Raw genomic sequence first — 27,099 nt, forward strand, 5'->3', positions numbered from 1 at the left:
CTTGCGAGTCCCCAAACTAGACCGCTTATTCTTTGGACCCTTTCTTGACTCACTCTAGCCATTATCAACTTCCTGTTAGTTTAGAAACTCCCTTGGCATTGAGAGTCTGAATGGCACAATCTAGCTCTTGATTTTATACAAACCTCTCTTCATGTCTAGTTGTTAGATTTTAAGCCTTCTCATGGCTGAAATAATTTCCTCTCTTTTATTCATACATTGCACAGTGCTGACTGAAATACAGAAGACATTGTGAATTTAATTTGTGTTGACTTCACCAAGGACAAACAAGATATAAGTTTTCTTCACCATATTAGCACTTTCTGTAAGAATGATGAGATCAGAGAGCTCTTTATGGCCAGGGTCACTATAACAAAGAATCTATGGGCCAAATAGGAGTCCCTTATGAGTCTCCAAAGTCATTAAAGAGGGGCATGTTTTGTGCCATGAACTTTCCTTTTTTGCATATGGAGCTGAGAAACCCAAAAGTTAAAAAGGAGACTCAGTGATAGATTCATGGATAACAGAGATGGGTGGAAACAAGAATAGGTGGGCATAGTGTTATAATATGGGATTGATTATTTCCACAGCAGGCAGACTGTGATTTGCATGTGGAAAAGGAAAAAATGTGAATCAATTTGTAGAGCAATAAGTGATCCTTGTCATTTTTGAGGTTTGAATATGTATAAGACAATACACCAATTTGCTTTATATTTCCTCAAAGTGACTTCGACATCACCAATCCTGTCTGTAGTTCCTACTTCTTGTATTGAGAAGACTAATATACTCAGAGTTTTTCTGGCCTTGTAGGTAGAGTCCTCAGTTTGGATAAATAATCTCAGATTAGACATAGAATACAATGTGTGAAAGAATGTGGAGAACTGCCTAAAACAGAAACTACAGTATAAAGAAGACACAATAGGAAACCAAGAGAAGAGTTTTTTTTTTTTTAATTATTCCTTCATATTCAAACTTCACAAACAGTGTGAACTTGTACAATACCTCGGAAAGTGAAACTTACAAAAAAAGTGCTGGTAACATTTAAAAAAAAAACAACAAAAACCCCAAAAAAACAAACATCATTCTTAGCAACATCAATTACTCTTCCACACAAAACAGAAACCTTGTAAAATTTATTTTCGTATTTTTAAGGCGTAATACTTCCGTATAAAGTATATGCAAGAGATAAAACTTCACAGTATTCCAAAATGTCACAATAATAATAATAATATAATAGTATAATGAAGCGCTACAGTTAATTTTTCTTTTTTTGAATGTTTTTTTTCCTGTTTAAATAACAAATACAAGTCACAGGTAAATATACGTGAGAAAAATACGAGGCTAATATTAAATGGCAGGTAAGGATACTGTCACTGTAAGAAAAAACTGGCAGGATGTGTGTATTTAGTCTATATTTTAAAGCACTTGATAGAAAAGGCGTATGCAAGGTTTTTCCAAACAATTTTTCTGTTTGTTTGTTTGATAACTGACAACAATTTAAGAGTATAATGAGAAAAAAAAAGGAACAAACTCCCTCTCAAAACTATTGACCTGCTCATCCCAAACCATGTATATGTTGATGGATGGATGTGTGTTTTTGTGGATATATGGATTTATACCGTGCACAGAGTGATACAAGCAGTGTTCCATGCCCACCTGCAAAGATTGGAGGGTATAACACTGCAGTCATTCAGCCCAGGTTCCTCTTAGGAAATTAACCTTTCAATTTAAAGCTCTCTTTCCTTGCCTCTCCCTCTTTCCAAACTCTTCCTCAATTCCCAGGTCTTTGTTCTGAAAAGACAATCTGGTTAGAAAAGTTGCCCTCCACTCATAATTCACTGGGAAATGGAAACTGCATAAACAGTGACACACAGACACTGGAAACACCACTTGAATGAATGAATGAATGGATATGTATGTGTGTGTGCATGTGTGTATGTTTTAGGTCACATAAACATACAGTGTGTGCGTGGGTGTGTGTATTTTAGGTCTAAACATACAGTGTGTGTGTGTGTGTGTGTGTGTGTGTGTGTGTGTGTACACAGTAGCAATTGCAAAAAAGGGACCATATTCCTTTCCATACTAAGATACAATGTGATAAGAAACATTTCTGTGCAGGGAAAAAGGTTTCTTCGAATCTTATCACAACACTGCGGCGGGAAAATCAGGAAATGGGTTCACCTTTCAGCAGTCACCACAGTAAACTTCATTGAGAACATACATGCCCAGATATCTCTTCTGTGCACATGTATATGTTAACAGCTAGCCATTCAGCCAACAGGTAACAGAAAGACAGCAGATAGCAAACACATCAATAAGGTGCTCAAAGAAAAAAGTGGCACCCACTTCTCAAATGGATGGCCACGTTAAGGTGCTTCAAAAAAGGTTTTTTGTTTTTTTGTTTTTTTTTTCAGTTTTTATTTCAAACATTAAGAGAGTACTGATTTTCACATGGTAGTTCTGAGTCAGGCCAAAGGTTTTGAGGTTTCTGACATCTTTCACTGAAAAGGGCTTTCACTGTAGTAGTTTTGTTCAGTTTGTTGTGGGTGACGAGTTTAAAAATGTTTTTCATAGCCAGAAACTGAAATCAAATCAACATGACTAAAAGAAATAACTGATGAAATGGTATATAGAACATTACTGCATTCGCATCGGATCAAGATGGTTTCGCCCATTTTTCCTTTTTCACTAACACTGTTCCTTTTTTTCCTTGTTACAATCCATTCTTTATGAACATACAGAAATGACCAAAGTCACTGCAAGTAGCTGTTTTTATTTTTTGTGATCTGTTGCAAGAGTCCAACCTTGTTTCCTCTGCTGCTGTTTGTGTAGCATCTGGTTTTGTAATGAGCATCTGGATTTGTAATGAGCATCTGATTTTGTTATGTGCATGTGTGTATATATGCACATATACACACCTATACATGTATAATATATACACTATATATATGTGGATACATATAGGAAGTGTGTATACATTTATACATAATATAGTGTATATCGTTTCAACTGGAGATAAACTGAACTGGGTTCAGACACTAGCACATGCTTAACTTTCCCCTGCTCCCTCTGTATATTTTAAACAGTCTGGAGCTTTAATTTATTTTTTAAAGTGCATTTTCAATGCAGAAAAACTGTAATCCACTGATTCCTTGGAAAACATTTTTGATGAGAAAAATCTGACAGTTCTCAGCCCCAAGCAAGAGAAACCTGGGTTTGGTCATGCTGGGGGCTGACGTGGCAGTGCCAGGCTCGTGCCTGAGTGATTAATGGACATTCTGGACTCCGGGCACCTTAGCAGCAGCAGCAGCACCTTTATGAGAAGGTAGAGATAGAAAAGGAAGAAGGAAGGAAAGCTCAGATGAGGAAGAATGAAGTATTGTGTTTACGTATCAAAATTGCTAACTTTGACTATAATGGACTTGTGCAGTTCCTGTTGGCCTCGGCTAAGAGATGCCATCTAGTCCCTTCTCCACCAACTGACACCAAACTCCCCATGGCCCCTGCATGCTCAAACATCACCCATATGTCCCCACGCCTAAGGCTGACTTCTGTGTCAGCTTCTTGTGGGTATGTGAGTGCCAGCATCAAGTAGGAATAAGGCACCAGAGAAATCAAAATGTTACAAAAAGATGCAAACCCCATTTCAAAGAGCCTCTCCCATTGCTCCATTAAAATATTGCATGTGATACCATTCGTTTGTGTGTACCTAAAGTGTGTCAAATACAGTCTCTGAAAGGAACTCGAGGCCCTTCAGCACCAGAGATCTTCAGGAATGCATCTTTTTTCTAAACACACCCACACCACCCCCAACCCCCCATGCCCACCCCACACCAAAAGCAAAAGCACCAAATTGGGAGAACAAGGCTGCTTGCCATTGCTCACCTCATTTTTGAAAAAATCAGAGAAGTCTATGAAATACAATGTTCAGGAAATGCTCTGAAATCAAACGGATTTAGGCTGTCATGTACATGGTTACTCAATGCTTTAAATGTCCAAAGAGTGTCATGAAGGGGTTGAAATGTTTGTGTTCAATGTTTAGGGGGAATGTGTTAAACAAAAGTTACTTCTCAAACGATGCCCAAATCTTCCACTAACACATCAACCTCCCCTATCACTTTTTAAAAAAATTGTAAAGAGGAAGAGGTTCATCTAACTATAAAAGGAAAAGATGAAGGCACGTGATATTATTCGGTCCCACAATCCTTAAGAAAAACGGTATTTTGCAAGTTTGTGTGTGTGTGTGCTCGCATACATGAAACGCGAGTCCAAGGGGCCATTGGGGCAGTAGTCCAAGGGAAGCTGGAAAAGGGGAACAAGAGAGAGTTTTTAGACAGAAGAAAGGAAAAAGGAAGAAATAGAGGCCTCTCTTCAGCTTTCTGTCATTGACAGTCTCAAGATTCGGCTGCTTTAGAGTCCAGAAAGGAATTTGTTTGTCTTGGTCTGGAAAGTGCCCCAGTTAAATATCTCCAGTTCATCATGGTACAGCTTTTGGTGTTTCCCTTTTCCCTTCCCTCCAGCCAAATGATTTTTTAAAAAAATCACAGTTTTTAAAAATTATTTTTTCAATGTTGAAAAAATATGGAAAAGCTATTGAACAGCCTTAGGGCACTGCCTCTCCATCTTCACAGTGAGCAGATGGATGGATAATCCACAGAGTCAAAGAGGAGGTGGGCAAGATCCCTTGTGCTCAGTGGTCTCTTGCCCCACCTTCCTGAGGGCTGGGGGGCCTTCACACCACCCACAGCCATTTCCCTCCTTTGGGTCCCTGCCCCCCTGCTCCCATCCATGGAATGTGGGCTGCTGAGAAAGGCAGAGCCAGGCTAGGGAACGATGATAACAGTAACAGGAGGGTCTCAGAAGCAGAGGGTGAAGGAGACAGGAGGCGTGCTCTCCTCAGGCAGTGTTAGCAGTGTGCTCTCTTGGCAGCCTCATCTCAGGATGGGAAAGTGTGGTTGCCCACTGAGAGGGTGAAGTCCCACTCACATTTTACTTCGTGAGACCTCAACTCTCAGGCTCACCACCTTTATGCCTCTCTTTGCATCAGGTTGGCCCCCAGTCCCTAAGAAGGCAATGATTTGAGATAGAGAGGCAGAGCCCGGCTGTGTCATACAAAAAAGGGCAACGCACAGCAGGATTTCAGAAACAAATTTAACTTTGGTTTTCCAACTTTTTCAAACCATAAAAATTAAAGCAGGGCTTCGGTGGCTTTGATAATCTGACAGCTGTTATATTTTTCTCATTTGGCAAGGCTAAGGCAGGGGGTAGGGGGAAGAGAAAAGGGGTTTCCCATAATTGGTTGAAGACACAGGGTGGTAAAATGCTTCCACACTTAAACTCACAGTCCAGTGTTTTTGACATTTCATAAATAGCTTTTTTTCTCTAAAAAAAGAATAAAACAAGAACAATCCCTTTACTTACTCATCTGAAACAAAATAAACAGCAGTGGGTACAAACTTCTTCTTGTAACAATTACAAAAAACAACAATATAATCCCAACTTTTAACACGCATCTTGAATCAGTAATTTTTTTTTAACCTCAAAACTGCAGCATATCCTTAAGGGCAAACTTTTCGATTAGTTTTTTTCTTTTTTTTTTTTTAAATAATGTCTTCACCAAAAAAACAGTCTTGTACCAATAAAATGCATTCAAAAATAGAAAATATTACACAACAAAAATATGTATCCTTCCTTTCCAAAAAAGATTCTTCACAAAAAAATGTAGAAAAAATTCCAACAATTTTTTTCCTCTCCTAAACATTAACCTTCAGTCTAGGGCACAATTATTTATTGATTTAAATGTCTGTTTTTGCATAAAACATGGAAGATGCAAAACATTTACTGTATTAGGATTGTGAAGTTACAGCCACTCCCACCCCTGCTCTAAAACAAAACAAAACCAGAAAAAAACCAGCAAACATTAAACAAATGATAGAGTCAGTTGGCTAGGAAAAATACCGCTGTTCTTCCCTTTACTGTGCATTTGTATGGGTAAACGGGCCAGTTTGGTATTGGGGAATGTTGACGAAGGGAGATCAGGTTTCAAGATTGGATTCAAGAGCTTCTTTAGCATATGCTGATACCAATGAGTCACTGACAGTCCCCAGGTTGTACAACTATCCATTGCAAATCCTCATGAGAAGAGAAACACATGAGGTAGCACATGGGAAGTCAGAGGACTGAAGCGTGTCCATGTGTGTACTGTACACATACATCTTGAAAAACCACTTTCTCAAGCATATACATATATATATATATATAAGCATATACATATATATATACACACACACACACAAATTTGTTACATAGCCAATTTGTTTTTAAATATTTTTTCTCAAAAGGGAGCTCAAGCATAAGTTAAAAGGTGATGTGGAAATCCAGTGGTATGAGGAAGGCTGGGGTTATTTCCTCCATACTTTCTTCCACATTTAACCTGTTTGGGCATTAATTGCAATAATGACAAGATCTCTGCTCTCAGAGGAATGCTCTGTTTTCTCCATCCCCATTGAACTACCAGGTTCCTTTTATATTTTCAGCATTGTAGTTTAAACTATGTATTTTTCTTACTTGATGATATTAATCTTTCATGTGGGATGTAGTTTGTATGTGTATTCAGTACAAATATATTTTTTTCATAGCTGTTTTCCCCTGTTGCTTATTTGCTGTTTTTTTCCCTCATGGTTTTGCTTTGTTTTGTTTCTGATTTTTTAAACAGTGAAATATGTCCAATTTTATTTCCAGTGCATTAAACAAATTTTAAATTAAAAGAAGAAATAAACGTTTCCCCCCATCTTTCTAAAGGAAATGACTAACAAAAGTACAATACAATAGAATCAGGCATTGCCAAGAATAGCATGATGTGCAACCTCAATTATATCAAAGAAAACAAATAGACAAACAAGAATTATAGAACATAAGTATGAAGGAGCCAAGATTACATAATTCCAACTATGGTATGATTGGCAAGCACTGGTTAAAAAACAGGTAAGGCTACTCTTAGATTTCTAACTCAACATAGTTAACCACTGCTCTTCTGTCTTTTCCTTCAACTTTTAATCTTTTACTCCCTAGTTCTTTATATCTTTAAAATGAACAAATTTGTTTTTATATTTTTGGTCTACAGTAGAATTACATATTAATAATATAATAAAAAGATATTTCATTAACAGGTTGGTACTGCATCCATGTGGGGACAATAGAAAAAAAGTACTCAAATAGACATAGCAAATGGACTCTATTCTTATAAAAATAACCACAAATATAAAGAAATTATAATCAGGGCAACAGATTAAAATGAAAAGGGGTATAGAAAGATATATTTTAGATAATATAAACTCCTGACAAGCTATGCCCTAGAATTGCAGCCTCCAAACCTTGCCCATGATTTCCACCTTTCCATAGCCTCACTTCAAGTTCAAATGGAAATGAAAACAAAATAAAGTGAACAGGTGGTTGAGCCAGCCAAAGCCTCCAAGTTATGTTAGGTGGACAGTAAGACCAGGTGGACAGCATTTGAGAAACTGGCTGGACACAGGGGAGCTGCTACTGGTATTTATATTTAATTTGGAGGAATTTCCAGCCCACTGATAAAGAGAGAAACCAAGGAACCAAATGACTTTTCTAGTAACATATAATATATGAGATGAAATATAATTCTGTTAGAGAGGACATGGTGGTGAGATGGGAAAGAAAAGAGAAGAGAAACAGGCAGACTTCGGGCACCATCTCCCTTTGTTTTCTACAATGCATTGGTTTCCTTCTGTTGCGGAGCATTCTTTAGGATTAGCTACAGACCCCAATGTCCTCTGAGTAAATATATGTCAGCTCAGCTCCTGACATGATATCCATGCTTATTGGCCTCCTGGAGGGCTGGGTGGTTCTGGAGGGTCCCTCCCCTGCTATCACTGCCCACTGGCCCTTGCCTTCAATAAAGCAGAGAAGGTGTGCAAAGTTTCAATGGCAGGGGCTCTTTACGTTAACTATACCTAACTGATGACTAATTCACACAGATGGTTCCATATGGAAACAAAAAATAAAGAGAAAGAACTGGTAAGAGTTGAGCTCGGTAGCCAACTAGTGTGAAGTTTTCTTCCAGGAAAAAAAGAAGGAGAAAAAGAAATGGTATCTGTCAGAAAATACTGCTTTTGGTTTCTTTTAACTTTGAGCTGTCCTTGGTTTTTCTCTCAGTCAGTTGCTCCAGTTTAAAGGAGAGTTTAGAATCTAGTGCAAATATCATCAAATCACAGCATTCCAGAGCAATATCCTGTCCCTTCATCCTAAGTGGATACTGTCCCTTCAAACCTCCTCAGAAGACTGGAGGCAATGGTACAGAAAAGCGTAACTGAATAAATTATTAATCTAGTACTCACTACGACAAGAAAGGCACTATCACAACAGATCAGCCTCCAAGCATTTTCCTTGCCATGGGCATGGGCGTTTCAACCACTCCAGAAATCACAACAAAATCCAGACTGTGGCTTTTTCAACACTTGAATTCATTGGCCAGTTGTCTGACTCTCCCACCGGTCACTGCTGTTGGCTCTGGCCATACAGAACCCTGATCTGCACTGTGTACATGCTGCCCTATGTTTCACCAGTGACCTTTGTTTGGTTCTAAATGATTTAGCTCACTCTCTTCCATGGAAGTTTCTTTCTCTCCATCAGTCTCCAGGTCATGACTCTATTAAAGATCATTTACAGTGTCAAGTAGTGTTGTTTATTTTTTTCTATTTTTTAAACCTCTGATCAAATCCAAAGTCATAAAGATAGTTCAGTACGTCCTCTGATGACAAGGTCTCCTGTAAATACCATTGTGAACAGAAGGAAAACCATAGTGTAATCCCTTGACCACCAAAGCATATCCCTTGAGCCTGTTGTAGTACTTTTTTCTGGGAGAGAGGAAATTGCGATCTGAAGATTAAAATCTTTGGTGACAGAACTGGAGTGGATATGCAAATTTCAAGGAAGAAGTTTTCCAAAGCCTCAAGAGAAGTATCCTAGGACAGTTAATGTGAATATATTTTAAAAAGTCAATCATTTCTTTCTATAGCTTTGGTTTGGTGCAGTCAATGTCCTCTTAGTGATTACCCAATACTTATTTCTAAGTACCTGTTAAAAGCTCTGGATTTAGTTTCTTACTTAAAACAGAGATAATGCTTTGAGTGCTTAAGGAATTTCTTATGCTAGTTTGGATGGCTCTAAATGGAGTTTTTCTGACTAACAAGGCTGACAACTTTCTGAACAATATTTAAACTTGGAATAGTAGACTTGGACGGATAGTAAAGAAGAGAGAGAAAAAGACAGGTTATCAATGTTGTAATCTTAGGGAAGGGGCCTCAATTGAGAATTTTCCAAATTGATGCCCCATATGTGACAGTGTTCAGAGAAATTCAACATTAGCCATTTATATGGGTTGTGATCCTTTCCTACTGTGCCAGAACCTTCAAAACTGTCACTTTGAGTTCCAGAAGAGTCCTTCAGCATCTTTACTCTTGTGTTATTATTTCCCACACAATCTATTGCTTATCCTGTGATGAAAGATTCTTTTATTAACAGTTACTAAAGAGCTGTCAAACTCTGATTACTTCTAAGATTAAAAAAGATAATAAAAATAAATTTAACAAAGAAAAGTTAGGAAAAAACCAATTTCAAAACTAAACTTTTAGGCACTATTAAGGTCTTCTGCTTAGTAAGGATAGTCTATGATGGAGCAGCTAGTATGTTCTAATCCATCCTCCAATGTCCAAGTTGGCCTAGCTTGTTTCAAAATAAACCTTTCACTTCACTGGTTTTCAGTGTTTATTGCACTGTTCCCTATCTGTCATCTTAAAGGACTTTACCACATGCATAGCCTTCCTCTTTGGTTAGCCTGATCTAGGTTTCACCCAGGGATGGAGAAGCATAATCAGGCTGAAAAGTAATTCCAATATGGACAAGGCTATGTGTTTTTGAAAGGAGCACATCCTACTGCCCTCTGCCACACTAAAATGTGCACAAGCAAGGGGCTTTGTGGAGGAGGCCAAGGCAAAGACTTCTACATCATATCAATTGGCTTCTTCACTGTTAAAACTCTTACTGAGAGCTCAGTCAGAAACAAGATTGGGTAAACTTTTTCTTAAATGTTCTTAATTGCTGTACTAACTCAGCTTCTTTACAGTAAGAAAACAGATCCTATCAGCATGGTGGTTCCTAGGCCTGATCAAGAGTTGACAGAGATTCCACAGATTCTCGCCAACCCTGCTAAGATCAAGCATGATGAAAATAACTCTGCATTTTAGTGATGCTCCTACTTCCATAATTTGCCTTTTTCTTTCCCATACGTAACACACTCTCTCCCAGCACAAGTAAGTACATTTCAGTAGTGCAATGCAGTGCAGTCATATTTAGTGCAAAAAAAAGCCCTATTATAACCCAAAGCTCAACTCTAAACAGCTCTTACAAAGGTTACCAGTGCTACGAAGGTGGGAAATTCAGTCTATCTCACACTTATGTGAGTCATCTCTTTTGTTGCTCCTGTTTGTTTCAGCTCAAAGTAGAGAAACTAGCATGCACCTATGTATTTTCTGTAAAACATTAAGCCAATAGGCAGAAAATAAAAGGAAGTAGTCTAGTTAAAATCAAGGGTATTATTTAGAAGAGGAAAACAGCTATTTAATGTAAAGGTCAGTAGTGGTTTTTACTTAATAGTTTTCATCATGTCAGATGGCTCTAATGCTAAGGGGAATGGGTTCAGAAAAAGATAAAGCTTTCCTGTTTCTTGAAACACGGTCCTAAATTTAACAGTGCTGGGCTTTTATTTTTGAATAGTGCAATCAGCTATTCCTCAAGGGCTACAGGCAGCAGCCACCTAACATAACATAAATAGGTACACTAGGAGCACTCACTTTTCTACATTGATCACTTTTTCCCTCACCTCATTAGTCTCCTATTCTTTTTTTTTTCTGACTACACATAAATACAGATATACATACACATACACAGAAATTCTCAAGGCCCCTCTCAGAATGATCAATTGAAAATTGGTACAAATAGCTCAGTGACACACTCACACAGAAGTACAATTATTAAATACAAAAGTGAATTATTACAGCAAAATTAAGAGTCTGCATTGTACCTCTTCTTGTGTTATTCCATAAGAAGAAAAAACATTCATAGTAGGATTTCTTAAGGAGCTTACTTCTTTCTAAAGATTAGTCTAGAATTAGTTTGGGATGTGGCAATATTGAGTGATTCTGGAAAAATGATTTGTATTTGATCATCCTCAGGAATCCGTTTCTTCAGTTTGTCTGGGTCTTCACCCTCCAAAGGTAAGTCTGCTTGTCTGCTCATACCCACACATGCATGCTGTAAGTCTCAAGAGAATCAAAGTGTAGTTTAAAATAGATTGTGGGAAAGGAATTAAGCATAGTGGGGTCAGCACACTCAAATTACCTTAAAATATCAAGTTACCATAGATTTTCTCTATCATATCAGCTTCTCACCTTTGTTTGCCATGATGAAGATTACTAAGACACCCTGCTTTCATCTACTCTGAAAACCATAATTCTTTCAACAATAGTGTAGGAACAATTTTAATTAGATATATGCAAATTACCCTTAATTTATATCTCAATAGGCTCCTCAGGAAAACTGAGGTTCAAATCAACGGGCCTAAAGAAGAAGTTTAGCAGCTGAAAATACCTTTGAGAATTTTCTCCTGTAAATCTACAGCTGGTTCCAAATTAAAGTTTGTCCCAAGGAGAGCAAGAGCAGAGTAACTAGCCTTTGTTTTCAAAGATTCCCCTAGTTGTGAACATGCATAAAGCACTTTGAACTACAGGAAAATCTTATCTCAAATTTGAACTATTATTTTATTTTCAGTGATCTCTCTGTACACTCCTCTCGGGCCCGGATAGCACATTAGGTATAGAAGTCAGGAGTTTCTACAATTTCTCTAGAAGTGTTTGGCAGCATGAAGAGAAATCTTTAATCACAAAGAAGTATAGTTAACTTACTAATTCTTTGAATTGTAATAATGAGAGATAGGCAAGAACAACAAGGGGTGAGTAGTGCTAACTTTCTCCGGTAACCTTGACAACTGGCTTTAGGAATCCAGACCTGTATCAAATTTGGTCCCATCACATTGTCCTGTTCCCTCTCTTTGTTTTTCTCTGTTCACTTAATTGAAATTGCAATTATTTTAAAGATTGAGCCAAGAATGTCAATTATAGCACAAAAGAAAGGTTACAAAAACGTTGTCAGGCTATCTGTTAATCGAGTTGAGTTGAAAACAGTATGCTTTCAAATGAAGTACTACAATTTCCTTTTTTAAAAAAATAGTTTCTAATTTGTTTTTTCCTTCTTTTGTGGTGGAGGGGTATAGATGGGTGAAGTACTGGCAATGCAGTGCCAATCTCCCTCTGTTACTGTTCCCTCTAGTGCCTGGGGTTGGGGCAGGTGCAGGGGTGTGGGGAAGGAGAGAGAAGCAATGGGGAAACAGGTGTTTCTCTACTTAAGACTTCATGAACACATACAGTCTTGAAATGGCTAGAAAAGCAACAACTACAATGATAAAAATCAACAGATCAATTGATTTTGGCATTTCGGCAGCACCCCTTCCTTTTCTTTCCTGGGTATCTTGCAGTAGATATTAATTAGAAATACCCAAAGAATTTAATTAAACTAATTTATTCCCAGCCTTATTCCAAAAAGGATTTGAGGAGGCAATAAGGATTTGTAGTACAAAATGCATGGTCTTCATCTGCAATCAATAAAAAAATCTATTCTTTGGCCCCAGACCTGTTAGTTTAGGTAAATACGGTTTCTTTCTCAAGGAACAGGTTTTTGTTTTAACTGTTCTATCCTCAAAGTAAAGAGAGAATTTCTCTCTTAAAAGCTCATGAGTGCTATTTGAAATGGAAGATAAGATTTTTTGGAGGAAAAATTCCTTCATGGTAGGATGGAAGGCTTTTCTTTCTAAGGGGAAAATAATACAGTAAGGGTGAGCAGTTATTTGACTGTCCATGGACAGTAACAAATTAAGAAATAAAAATCCTTTACTATCTTGAGAAGAAAGAAAGGGAAACAAATAAATCAACAAAAAAACCTTACTAAAATACACATTCCTCCAGTTTCAGATTTCTAAAAAGTAATAATTATGCTTAAATCAAGGTTTATAGATAGCAAACAACTGTTTGAATGTGTGAAAGTATTATCCCTTTGCTCTACCATGTTTCACTTTCTTTGAAGGAATTGCATCTATGCACACTTATCCTGAAGTCCAGTGCAGAAAATAAACTTGTTTGCTACCAGCCTCAATCTCAGAACATTTCCTAAGCTATATTTGTAAATTCTAGAGCTACATATCTGTAAAATAAGATGCAGACTTTCTGAAATGCATTGTATGTGTGTGTGTTGCAGAGGGAGAGGGGAGCAAAGCAAGCTTTTCCTGGAGAAAAGAAGAAAAAAAAATCTTCCTATCCTCACGAATATATACTATAGTGTTTCTGTCTATTATTTTGATGCATTAGTTACTGTTAGGGCTATTGATGCTCCTGACAGGTGTCAGCTTGGAAAGACAGGAGGCTCATAAGCAATAATAAATTCACACCCTGGAGTCTCTAGAATATCAAACAGGATTTAGACATTAATCTGAGACTAACACAGAGGTTGTGGTGAGAAATTCTGGGTCTTGGGGTTGGAATACTTCTTGGGGAACTAGAAAGAACAGCATCAAGAAGGCATCCCAGATTGAGGACCAAGTAAGATCTATCAGAACCAGAGCCTCTCCTCCTCCATATTATACTTTAAATGACAGCATTTTAGGATTTAAAAGAGTCTTTCTTCCTTTGGAAGCCAGTGCCTAAGGAGAGGATTACTTTAGATAAAGAGTACTTTAAGAAAAAAAAAATACCAGGAGTTAGAATGGACAAAGAAAAAGAAGGATATAGGATTGATTGGGAGAACATTCCAAGTGAAGATCATAGTCCTAAGCAATGTAAATATTGCCTTTAAGAGATGTTGTTTTCCTACTAGATGCATGCCTCATAAAGGCTTTCAAAACTGCTATTTATTTCATTGTTCTCTATGGTGTGAGTTGATGTTATAAACTGGTTTGATTAAGATAAAAGCTGGGTCAAATCTCAAGTCAAATAAAAATACATTTCTGATATTAAATGTTGATTCTTTTTGTCAAAGGGTAAAGCAAGAACTGAAAGCATACCGCCTATGCACTCAAAACCACATAGTACTCTAAATGTCACAGGACTTGTCTTCATTAAAGCTGAGAGGCGATGTGGTATCATGGCAAGAATATTGGACCAGAAGTCAGGAAAGACTGTGTTACGAAGTTGTTGTGAATGTGATATTATAAGCATCCTGAAAAGGATACACCCAGAATGGTATCAGTCAGTCTTTTGGGCAATGCTCTGGTGACCAGACAGTTGTAATCCACTGCAGGGAGATCTAGCATGACAACCAAATTATATGGGGCGTATTTAGGTGCTGGGGAGTGCACTGCATGGCTCTTTAGGTATCCATTTAGCTCTGTTATTATTTTATTTAAGTATATATTAAGTTTATGTTTAGGCAATCTCTGGTTGCAAAAACAGACACTTTCAAAACTTTATGGATCTTTTCATCCATTAGTAAGTTACTGCTCAAAGTTCTAAACAAATCAATGATTTTTTTTTCAAAAAGGCAATAAATAAAAAAACTCTTCCTAATTTTTCCTACAATGTGTTCAAGTGGATGTGGCTTTTCTTGTTTGAGAAGAGCTCACTAAGGCTTGAACAGTTATCAAAATTATTTTGAAATGTTACTCTTTTCTTTAGATTCCTATAATCTAAAGTCTGATAAACAAGTAATTTGACTAGTGGAAACAGTCAACATTAATGATTCTTTTTTTCTCCGTCAAAAGTGATTTACTCATATGAAGAACCTGAACACTGTGGTATTTAAAAAAAAAACAGAAAATATTTTTCTCTTCATTTTTGGCCAAACGTGAAGGTAAGGGGAATTAATGACCTCAGCTAGTACAGTTGACATTTAAAACTGTGACTCAGGTCCTCCCACTCTCAAAAGAATATTGATAACTTTTAAACTCTGAAGCTAAAATGAAGACATGCTTCACTCTGCCTACGAGTCTCAAGTTTATGAACTCACTCACTTTAGTGTTCTTTCATTAAATAAAACTTAAAGAAGGATGTTCAGAATGGGGTGGAGAAAGGAAGAGAAATGAACAGTTAGGGGTCACAATTATTAGAGTTTTGGGGGCAGTAATGAAGACAAATAGGTAATTTGAAGTAGTCTTCAAGAGAAACAAGAAATAAAGGGAAAGGGTTAGGAAAAGGAAAGAGGGAAATAATGAAGTTGATATAATTTGGATATTATGTGATCATTAGAGAAGAAACAGCCTCACTAACAGTCAATTCACAATTATGTTTGTCTAGTAGAAATATATCTGCTGGAACACTTTGGAGAACAGATTGGTAATTTTGCCATTACACTAGACATTAGCCCTTTCAAAGCAGACTAAGAGTACGTAGTTCCTTAGTGAATACAAGGCTTCACAACTGAAGAGCATTGCAGGGAGCTTGGCTAAGGTGAAAAGGGACTTGCTGGAGAGGTACAGCAGAATGGGATGGGATTAGAAAACAACAATCTATTAGGAAAGATGAAAGGAAGGAATTCCCCAGTGTTCACGCTGAGAAGTCTTCATATTGGACCAGTGTGAGGGGGTCTTTTATACTGAGGTTTTAAAAACCTGACTTCATTTTGTCCTGAATGTAGAAGTGAAGAAGGACACTAGTTTCAGGCACCTGGGATGGTGGAAAAGTTTATTCAACTGAGGCTTTCCATGCATTGGGTTGAATAGCTGAGGGAAGCTGAAGACTCTTATCTGAAAATATGATCTGAAAATATTTATTGTATAGGAAGACAGAATGCCTGATTTCTGAAGTTTTCTTGATGGCCCAACTAAAGAAGAAAGGCACCAAATCCTCACTTTAACAGGTAAATGGAGATCCTGAGGGCTGGATACCCAAGAGCCACCATTTTACGGATTCCTCAGATTTAAAAATGTCTCAGATAGATATTTCCAAATTCTATTTCTATTAGCCTCTGTGGATAAAGAGTTCCTGAAACTCTGGTTTTACTTTTTTTGGAAAAAAAAAAAAAAAAAAAAAAAAAAAACAACTCCCAGGAAAATGAACACTATATTGCCAAGCTGCCTCCAGGGAAAGGTTGAAGACTAGTTAAAATAATTCTAAGCGTATTGAAAAAAGAAAGTGTAAAGATCCAGTATTAAAATGAATGTTTGAGAATACAGTGGGGACAACTAGGTAATTCACTGTCTTACGCTTTTCAGAAGACTGGCCCTTTGAAACGCAGCCTGTTATTGTTGGTCAGATCATGTGGCACTTAAGTAGCCCCTTGGTCATATTTTTAAAAGCAAATATAGACAGTGACAGTCCTACAGGGGAAAATCACAGATACATTCATATGCACCTCTTTTGTTCTTCAGATATTGAGTGGGTCAGCTAAACAAGATCACTTTGAATATGAACCTCTTTGTATTAGTCACACCAACAAAAAAGTTTCAAAAAAAGTTTTCACTTTCCTACATTTGCTAAGTCTGAGCTTTAAAAAATTCTAAAATCCTCTAAAGACAATACTGAAGCTGATAATATAAAAAGCAAATTAGAGCACTAATGATTATTACTAGATGCACCAGATTAACTGCAGCAGGTTGGTGATGGGTGATATAAGCAAAGACATAATATTTCAATCAACTCATGATCATAGGCAGATTCAAAAGTTAAAATGAATATAATGTAATATATATTTCAATATAGAGTTGTTATATATAATGTGTATGTCCTAGGTTTCAGAAATACTGCAATGTAGTGTATTGTAGTTAAGTAAGCATACCTAAATAGTAACTCATATTCTTTCACAAAGTCACTAGTACTGTTAATTAAAGGAAAAAATAAAACCGAAACAACTAATTGTTTTTCCAGTAAAAAGAAATACCTATGGTTACAGTTACAGACTTCTTTTGGATATAGAAAGACAATATACATTTTAAAAAGTAATAACGACAAAAAAGTTGCAACTGTAAGTAGCCTTACTTAACAGGGGAAGGGGAAAAGTCACCAGAATAGAAGAGGAAAGAAAATGTCCTCTGACTTCTGTAAAACAGAAATAATGTACAAATCATAAAAAATAACAAACCATCTAGTAAAAGAAGGGCATGGGAGTGAGAAAACTGAATCCTGAATTCCAGGCCACCAAACCCTCAGAGTCCATTCATTCAGTATATTATACTAGAGTGGCATTCTACTTCAATGCTTGAGATGGGCAAGAGCAATCAATTCCTACAGATTACCAAAAAACATTCCCCCCAACAGTCTATTGGTTTGCTAGACATGGTAAACAACCCACTCCTGGAAAGACTTTGGCAAAGGCCACATTGGTTTCAGGAGACACAGTTTGTGAATTACGATGATATCTTGTGAGTACAGGCAGAATTAGGAAGCTTTAGTTTGAGAATAAAATTTATGTGTGTGTGTGTGTGTGTGTGTGTGTGTGTGCACACTGCATTGCATAGAGGAAAGGAATGAAGACCTTTGAGCTATGGGATGGCTCAGGCCAAAGTTTGTGTGGGCTTTGCCTGCCTGGCATTGGTCCCCACCCCTGCCACCTCCAGGAGACCTGGGGAGACGCCCTGGACTGCTGCTCCCTCTTGTCTGCTCACCAGTTGAAGACTTCTGTTATACCTTATTATGGAGGAAAACAGCCTGTCCCTGTGGGTTTGCTGTGGATTCAACAAGCTGCATTTGTTTCTCCCAATTCTGAAACATTACAAAAAGCAACAGAGTGGGCAGGTGACTGCTTCCTGGGAAGGGAGCCACAAGTCTTAAACACAATGGTGGGAAGAGGCAACTGTATCTATGCACGAGGACCTCTGCCTGTGTGTGCTTCCTTTGGGGGGCACACACACTTCCAGATGACAATAAGTATATACACAAACACACACATGTGCACACATGTCAATAAATCCAATAGAACTGTAGAGTTTGTTAAATGCACTCTACTCCACATAAGCATATTCAAGTTTCTCATGAAACGGATACATAGAAATTACTGATGGTTGGGCTCCTTCAGAATGCCCTAAAGTCTCATCACAGATACTGATGCACCCAACTAAGGCAACAAAGCATAAGCAGATACGTGAGATATGTCAGACCTTCGACTTCTAACCAGAAGTTCAAAAATGTATCTTGTTGTCACTGGGCAATATGAATGTGAAACAGTTTTGTGCTGAGGGAAGCTCACACTGTGTGTGCACATGTATAAATAATGTATACTCATTTATAGACATTTTGGACAGCAGCGGTGACATACTGGATGGGTTAAGACTCTTTCATTATTAGAATCTACATATAAATTGCAATGAGTTTGCTGGGTAAAAACAACTGTTGCAACACTAGTAGAAACAGATGCCCCCAAGGTTTTTTTTTTTTTTTTTTTTTTTTTCTCTCTTGGATGTATCAAAATCTCATTGAGGCATTCTAAACCAAAGAAACCTCTGAATTTGAAACAGGGTTAGTAGGGACTTTTATACCCAGCTGGGCATCCCAGAAGCCTGGACTCTCAGGACTGTGGCTAGATTTTGCCCATGATCTGTAGATTATGCTCTTGCACCGGAGACTTGAAAGTTATGAGTTTGCATTCAAACAAAGAACCACCAGATAAAACAGATGTTCTCTAAAACTGAGGAAAAAAAGTTTAGAGATATACACTGTATAGAGAAAGAAAGCTTTTTGCTGGATTGTTCTCCTTGTTAAGGAAATGTTTAAAACTAGTACTCCCGGGCACCTGTGATTGCATTTTATAGGATTCTATTTAGTAATATGATGTCTATTTTACATTCAGCCCCAACCTACGTCACTGAAATAGAATAGGAAATAGCAGCCACTATCTGAGAGTACCCAGTTCTAGGAAAGTTTGGTGCCTCCTCAAGAAGTCACTATTTCCATAGTCCTCAATCATGAATAGGGCTTGTTTTTGTGATAATGTAACTATTAAACAGCAAGAAATGCCTATAACTTCAGAGCCTTCTCATTTCTATATCTTTTATCCTCTTCCCAGGGCTTTCTGATTTAAGGCAATAATGCTACACTATAAGTAGCCTTTTGTGAAAATACCTTAATTGAGGTCACTTAAGATTAGATTTCAGTCTGAAAGTCTACAGTTTACGGAGCAAAAGGTGGAGCCTAAAGAAACCACTGGCAGGTGTTTTAGTCAGTGGTGTGGAAAGATAATGTTTCTTGTTTCAACCCAGGGCATTTTTACCCATCATGCAGTGAGGAGAAAATACATAGTTCTGAAAAAGAACCCACACTAGGTAGCCCTAATTTTCTATCTCTTCACTCTAAAAAGGATGGAAACAAGCCCTACTGTTCCATAACCATTCCCAGGGATCGGCTAAGGTACATTGCTGACTGCTATAGACTCAGTGTTCAAGGAGAAAAAAATCTTCAGAGACTTAGAAAACTCTTTGCAATATTTTGGTCAGGCTGATCGTCTTGATACTCAGTGCTAGAAATGATGCTTTGGATTAGTAGTTTCCACATTCTGAATTTATAGGAACACTGAGTCACCACAGCCTTTTTTCTTGTAAAGGTTTAAGTGATATCAGAAATAGCAACTCTACACGGAAAGCCCTTGGGAATATGAAAATACTCTCTCTCAAGAGCAAGGGCTCTTCCGTGCCCCTTTTCTGCCTCTGTATGTAGCCTGAGCACCAGGGTAGAGATTGCTTTTGAAAGTTTGCCCCATGTAATCTATTTCCTGGCTACCTAAGAGAACAGCCGTTTTCTTCATGAAAACACAAAGAGGGGAAAGAGGCTGCTGCTGTTCCAGTGGGAAGTTATGTCTAGCCCCAGAAGGCCTGGTGGCTGGGTCAGCTCAAGCACTCTCTTCATGCACTGCAGGCTCAGGAGGCATTGGGTTGCTTTGCTTTTTCTATGGAATTAGGGAGCCTATTGAAATTCTAGTGCACCCCTCCTTTTGTTTGTCACCAAGTCACATGGTTCTGTCTTCAGTATCCTATTTTTCTTTTTTTTTAATTTCTTTTTCTGAGGAACAAAATTGGCCATTTAAATAAAGTTCTTTTCTAGTGAGTAAAGAGGTTTCTCAGAGCCAGAAATCACTGAAAAGAGAGTCTGTCGACCCTGCCCATGGAAAAGCCCAGAGATTTCTCTAACCACTTCTTGCCAAACTTCCTAGTTTTGTGATTGGATGTTTCTTGGTTTAGCATTGTTTGGTGCTGAATACATTTTGCAATTCTTTTGTTCTCTGCCCTAGAGCTTCCATTACCCTGGACTTCAACTCATTACCAAATTAAAGAATTCTTTTAGAAGATTTCTTTTAAGAGTCAGGTCACAACAGAAAGGGCGCCCTCCTGTTCTCCTAAATCTCAAGGGCATCTCAGGTTGTGTCTGCTCTTACGTTGCACCTTCCTTTTGTTCCCTTTTAATGCAGCAGCACACTGGCTATAGCAGAGGCAGACCTGATTTGATTATCTGATACCTTTTCCACAAAATCATATATCCCCTGCTCCCAGCCCCAACTAATCAAATAACATCTTCTAGAACAACAGAGGAAAGCTCCAGAATGGGTGTATATCCTGTGACTCCTGGCCAGATCCACCTTGCTCCCTGTCTTCCTAGGGGTCACAGGTGTTGGGAGCATTGTGGAGGAGCCCCAACAAGGAAGCAACATATGGCTTTATTATGTTTTCTCAGGAATCGAAGGGGTTTTATAAGGGGCATATCTCATTTTTGACTTCTGTGCTGAGAGAAAATATTGAGTTTTGGGCGCAGGCAGAGCACAGACAGGACAGCTGGTGTTCCTGTGTGAGGGAAGTACACATAGCTCAAGGCTTTAGGACTGAATGTGAAACAAACATACCTGGAGGAAAACTTTTTTCATTATCAGAATTCACAAATTCTTACTGTTCATGGGTTGAAAAAGAGTATTTGGGACCTTATAGAATATTTTGATGATACAAAATAAAACCCTTATGACTTTTAAACACAGCAAACCCAAGTCTTTCTAAGGCCAAGAGCTACTATGATCTCTAAGATGACTAGGAATGAACTGAGGCTAGAATATGAGCAGGAAATTATCCAGCACACTTAATCATGGCACAAATAGATTCAAAGCATTAGGAATTTGGGAAGAGAACGGTCTATAAAACTGTTATTAGGAGCTAAAGTTTACCTCTCAATTAAAAGATACAGGAAACCATTTTGATACAGAGATTTTCATTTCAGATTTTTTTTCTTTGCTTAGCTTGTTTCCCCCTGTGTAGAATTGTAACAGATCCATGTGTTCCAATTATTTTCTTTTTTAGGATTATATTTCACACATTTGGGGGCCTTTTTTGTACAAATATTGGCATGTAATAAGGAAAAATTGCCCATGATGCTGAGATAATACCAGTGTTTTTAGTGGTAGAAAATATTATTTTTTTATAAACCATATCTAAATATCTTGAGATAAAAATTCCCCTTTGACTTTTTTTCCTCTCCCTTGTTTGGCAAATTCCATTTTAAAATTATAAATTGCTAAAAAATGTCCTTTCCATACTATTTCTCTCTTCCTTGTACTCATCCTAAGAAGTCTTAAATCTGGAACATTTGCTTTTATCTTATCTATCTGTTTCCTGGCTACTAGAAAGAAATTTTTTTAGCACTCATATCACCCTACCATGAAGGTCTAAATGTAAGATGACTGTAGGACTTGAAACAAAAAAAAATTAAAAAGATCCACACTCATTCTTTGATTTTGAAGCAAATGTCTTTCCCTATTTCTAAAGATATTTGTGATTGTTTAACTTAAAAGTGAGAATTGACAATCTAAAAGCATCTCTATCCTTTTGAAACAGGTCCAGATTGGTTTATTTCCTAAAATGTGGGTCAGTTTGGAAAGTGGCCATTTGATGGGCCAGGAACATAGCAATAAACAACTACCTCTTTGCTCCTCCAGATTAGATCTCCCACTCCAATCCAGCTTCTTCCTCTTTCCACAAAATAATTTGTCAACTATTTTAGAATGTGACATATTTGGGAAGGATAAATGTACAGTAGGAATATGTCTACTGCTATGCAAACCTGGCTGGTCCATTTTGTCATGGACTACAATGATTATATCACCTCATTAAGAATTCTTTAGGGATCCTCCACCTCCTCCCCCACTCCCTTTTTTTTAAGAGACACTTCCTTTACAGGGAAAGGATGATAGACTCCTCAGGGTTTCAAGTCACCTGCAGCTTTTTCTCTACATGTTCTACCAAAAGAAAAGGTGGATTCTAACCCAATTGCTTAGCATTTTACATGGCAAATCAGCATTAAGGCAAATGGGTCTCTCTCAGATTTGAGAAACAGAAAGCTACACGTGGCCCATAATGGCACCTAAGATCAACTTTTCAGGCGGTATTAGTGAAAATTCTTCCTACTTTGCTAAATTTGAACAAAGACACTTTCAAATCTACTGTGAAACAGTTTAAAATATTTTAAAGTGGCTTTTGGCCTTCTTTCATTTGTAACATGTATTGAGTGATTTCATGTCATTGTCTCCTAGCTTTAAGAGTTTTTTTCTTAAGGTCAATCTTCTCTTTTCATTTTATGGGTGGAATCACTTGTTTTCCAAAATATCAAAACAATTCCATGACATAGTTAATTAATGCTCCCTCTATTGGTGGTAAGTGGAAATATTAGTCTTACAACACTGCTATTTTAAAAAGCAAAATTAGCAATAGAAAAATGAACTTACTTTATCTCGGAAGCTGTTCCTCACTAACTGTTAAAACAGATCAGTTTTGGACATACAGTTCTTGGCAGGACTCCTCTTAGAAATCACAATAGGTTACACTTAATAGTCAGTTAACCACCCAAGTTTACATTAAAACTTCTAGCAAAATATCCACTGAATTAAGCACTGTGGGACCAAATCAAACTCACAAACACTTCAGTTACACTAACCTTACAAAGCATCACAAAGAACTTATGAAAAAGATCCAAGTTAACCAAATGTCTAAAATATATGAATAAAACCAATTTAGTCATTACAGAGTTGTTTGTGTTGGAAGATTTTCCCTCGTTTGCTGCACAGTTTTTGTAAATAAAATGCTGACAGGAAAATTAGAAGGAAAATTAAATTAAAATGTAATGTAATTTTGAAACTAAAATACGCTCTCCTTTCTTCTTTTTAAAACTGTAGTTTGGTGTTTTGCTTTGTTTAAAGATTTGCTTTCCCCTAAGTATGTTAAAATATGCCCAGCAATGAAATCACTTTGGGAGTTTCAGCTAGGTTTAAGAATTCCTATATTTGAGCTGGAATCCCTTCAGGACACTGTCTATAATGAAAATGTCTCTATTATAACACCTTGATCAGGACCGAGGAGAGAAATCCCTACTAGGAAGAGAGAGTGGCATCTGGTATGATGCAATAGATTGGTGGTCTTTTGAATGGTGGCTGTTGGCATCTGGGAATTTTTTTGTTAATTTCCCTAAAACCTTTCGAAGAAGCAAGGGTTAATTCGTCATCTAAAGAATGATCATCTTATTCAGCCCTCTTAACCATGGTGGAAACAGTCAGAAGGTGATATTTGGAAGGAAAAAAGTAATTTTGGCATCAATGCATCTTGATCTATAACAGGCTTCTCATAATGATGCTCTTTGTAGTTGGGAAGGGTGAGGAGCTATGGCAGAGTTTTGTGAACTCCTCTTCCTGGCTGATCACAAAAGAAAAGACCCCATTTATCAAGACTTCTAGACTATTAGTGTTTCACTAAGAAAAAAAGTAAAGTCAATAGAAATTCTAGAATTGTAAGATCTCAATGAAATTTTGGAGAAGCAAGCAATCTCTTTCTGAAAGATAAAGTCTCTTCCATGAAAAAGAACAGAATTCTAGATGAATCAGTTGAAAAAATTATTCAGTGGGGCAACTTAAGCTTGCTAAAGTCAAAGAACTACATATCAAAATACAAAGCAGCAATTCAAATTACAGCAGGGATGGGCTGGCCACAGAGGCCCTCATCAACCCAGGCAATACTTAAAATAATAAAAATTAAGAAAAATTAAAAAAAATATGAAGAAAATATCCTTCCTCTCTTTCAAATATAACTTTAGTTGCCTTTTATTCTTTCTATCTGGAAGCAGTATCGCTAACCTTAACAGTCTTGACTTACCAAAAAATATATATATGTGTGTGAAATAAAATAAAAGAGAAGGAATTGGTGGCAGTGTATGCAAAACCAAAATGAAAAAAATTACTTTTAACAATTTCACTTTTTTTGTTTTTTTTTTTACACAAATACTGTTGTAAATATATTAAAAAAATCAGCATTCTATCTGGTAAACGTCACTTTTGCCCCTCTATAAAATTTTGAATTAAAAAAGCCTCAAGAACTTTTTATTGTTCCCCCCACCCTCCATTTCTTTTTCTTTTTCTCTTCCACAAGAATATATCCTGACACTTTTTTTTTTTTTGCAAAGATTGTTGGAAATAATCCTTCTCTTGTACCTAGAAACATAGGTGCAAATTTCTGATATCTTTGTTTTATCTGCATTCCTGCCTTTCATGAAAGTCCCTCTTGATTGTGCTGAGGCTGTGGCTCAGCGAAGACACTGAATAAATACGATAGCCACTGTTGCTTGTTGCTTGTCCAAGTCTTCCTGGCTTCTGCTGCAAGAGGGGGATATGGAGAAGGTGGGCCAGGGTGTGTGGACCCGGGCAGAATCTGGGGAAGAAGCCTGCCATTCGTCTTTCTTTCCCACACCACCGAACCCACTGCCCTTCCCACCCCCACAGCCCTTTTATGAAATCAGACAACGTGGTAGGTGGAAAACAGCAGGGCCTTTCCTCTGGGTTTTCAACCAGAAGTGATATTCCACAGTTTTAACTGGTTACTGTGAAGTCCAAGCGGCCAGAATTGTGAAAATGTCCACTGAAACACTGCAAGCGGTGTACTTAAAGACAGTAGGCCTTTTAGATTTTGTTATATATTTTTTGTAGTGCTCTTCACAAGTGGAAATTTTTTTTTTTTTTTTACTTTTTTTTAAAAGATTTTTTTGTAAAGAAGGGTTGTATTTAGAGGCCAGTAGCTAGAGATCCAACCAGTGGACCTCTTGAAGCACTACCAGGCCTTAAGGCCACCATCCGAGGGAGACTGGGAAAACTATTATTCACCCAAGCCTCCGGAAATGTAATGTACCAGCAGGCAAAAAACAGTTCTTCATGTAGTACAAAATGAAACGAAACAAAAACAAAAACAGAAAGTAAAAATGAAACCAAAACATTTCTTAAATTCTAGTGCCATAGCTTTTTTGTTTGTTTGTTTTTTGTTGTTGTTTTGTTTTGTTCATAAGAAAGAGAGAAAGATACTACTTATCCGTCAGACACATGCATCCTCATGTGGTCGTTGAACTGCTCGATTTGGTCAAACTTTGCTGGGCAGACGGAGCAGACGTAAGTGGTCCCCTCCGTGCAGGCCACCACGCCTGGGGGGCCAGCGCGGGCACCTGGGGGTGTGCCTGCAGGGGGGGTCCCATTGCTGGCACTGTGCAGGGCCACGTGTCGCTCCAGGAGGGTCTTGTGAGAGAACTTCTTTTTGCAGATGTAGCACTCGTAGGACTTCTCTCCCCGGTGGAGGCGCATGTGCACGTTGAGGGAGCTCTTCTGGGTGAAGCGCTTGTTGCAGATACTACACTGGTATGCCCTCACTCCTGTGTGTGTCACCATGTGCTTGATAAGGTAATCCTTTAAGGAGAAGGAGCGCCAACAGATGCTGCATTGGTGGGGCTTCTCACCTGTTGATGTAGGAAGAGACAGCAAGCAGGACAGAGCGAGACATAGCAAGGGATAGAGAATGAAGGACAGGAAAAACAAGACAACAAAAAAGAAAAATAAAACAATTAAAAAATAAAATTTGATTGCTTAATGGATCATCCTCGTTTGGAAAAATCCAGGCCCTCCTAGCCTCTCATGTGCAGAGAAATTTTGCTTTATGGTGATGCCAGGACAGTTTTGTTTTCCATTTCCCTGTGCCATAAAACGGCTTTCTTGGAAAGCTACCAGATATTCCCCACTAAAAGTCTTCAAGGTCACTCCGTGGAAAAGGGAGGGCTACTTTTGAAGGGGGTCACTTTCAGTGTCCTGATTAGGGGATTTAGTGTTTCCCATTAACATTATCAAACAAATAGAAGAAATAAGAGAGAAGAAAGATCGTTGGAGACATGGGGTGCTCTAGAATCCTTGAGAACTAAGGATATTGGTCACTATAGCTTGGTTCCTTGGGGTAAGTCCCCACTTCTAGTAGTCTAAGAAATACACCTATGTGTTGATTGTGAGTTTGGAAAATATTTGCCAACACAGGAATACGTTATTTTGAAGAGCTATACTTTCAAGTTTATCTATTTTAGACAGAAATCTTTCTAAAATATAACTTAAGGGTTAATTGCCTGTTCTCTATTGACTGTAGTGAGCTGCAGATTGGCCTCATCGGGTGTAGAGGCTGAGTAGGCGGTGGGCAACATGATGATATCAGACTCAAATGATCCTATTCAAATCTGGGCACCAACACACTACACTCCACTCTGACAAATCACCAAATGCCTCTGAGGTATACAGTCCTACTTACCTCATTGTGCTGGTGTTGACATAAAATACATATGAAATCACTTTGCAGACCACCAAGAGCAGTGTGGGAATACATGCATGGTATTCTTATTACAAGGATACCTCCCACCCCCATTAAATGCTTCCATATGCCTTTTGAACTCTTGGGTCAATTTTTAAAATAGTTTTCCTGCGTCCTCCTTTGCTCTCAGCCTGTTGGCGGAAACCCTTGTTTTTCCTCAGTTTACTGCTTTGGTTTGGCTTAGAAACCAAATGATCAAGTTTGTTACAAACAGTAAGGTAAATAATAATACTCAGTGCATGAGGTATTCTTAAAGTCCATGGGTCCGTGACATCTCTTTAAGATGATTACTTAAAGACTTGTTTTCTTTGTGCTGTTTGTTCTCAGCTCTGCTCCTGACAGGTGAGATGAAC

The 27,099-nt window shown here is 37.8% G+C and overlaps 1 protein-coding gene and 1 non-coding gene across 19 annotated transcripts in view, besides 1 other annotated feature; both read right to left on the minus strand.

Moving 5' to 3' along the window:
• The window catches only part of ZBTB20 (zinc finger and BTB domain containing 20), an 832,789-nt gene continuing 806,619 nt past the window's right edge, over positions 930 to 27,099 (minus strand). For all 18 annotated transcript variants that reach the window (NR_121662.3, NM_015642.7, NM_001348801.3 and 15 more), the window contains one exon: positions 930 to 25,856. Coding sequence is in view for 17 of the 18 variants with exons in the window: in NM_015642.7 (NP_056457.3) it covers positions 25,435 to 25,856 (422 nt within the window). In the remaining variant the exon portion in view is untranslated. The remainder of the gene's footprint in view (positions 25,857 to 27,099) is intronic.
• Positions 2,393 to 2,442: an enhancer, noted in NCBI's record as "active region_20275". NCBI's record gives its function as "activates an Ori minimal core promoter by ATAC-STARR-seq in GM12878 lymphoblastoid cells {active_cell/tissue: GM12878}" and the evidence as "EXISTENCE:reporter gene assay evidence [ECO:0000049][PMID:35858748]".
• On the minus strand, positions 2,905 to 2,999 carry MIR568 (microRNA 568). Its single transcript, NR_030293.1, has one exon. It is a non-coding gene; the product is annotated as a microRNA 568 (primary transcript).

This window comes from Homo sapiens, chromosome 3, assembly GCF_000001405.40.
Source record: "Homo sapiens chromosome 3, GRCh38.p14 Primary Assembly".
In the NCBI taxonomy this organism is placed as follows: Eukaryota; Metazoa; Chordata; class Mammalia; order Primates; family Hominidae; genus Homo; species Homo sapiens.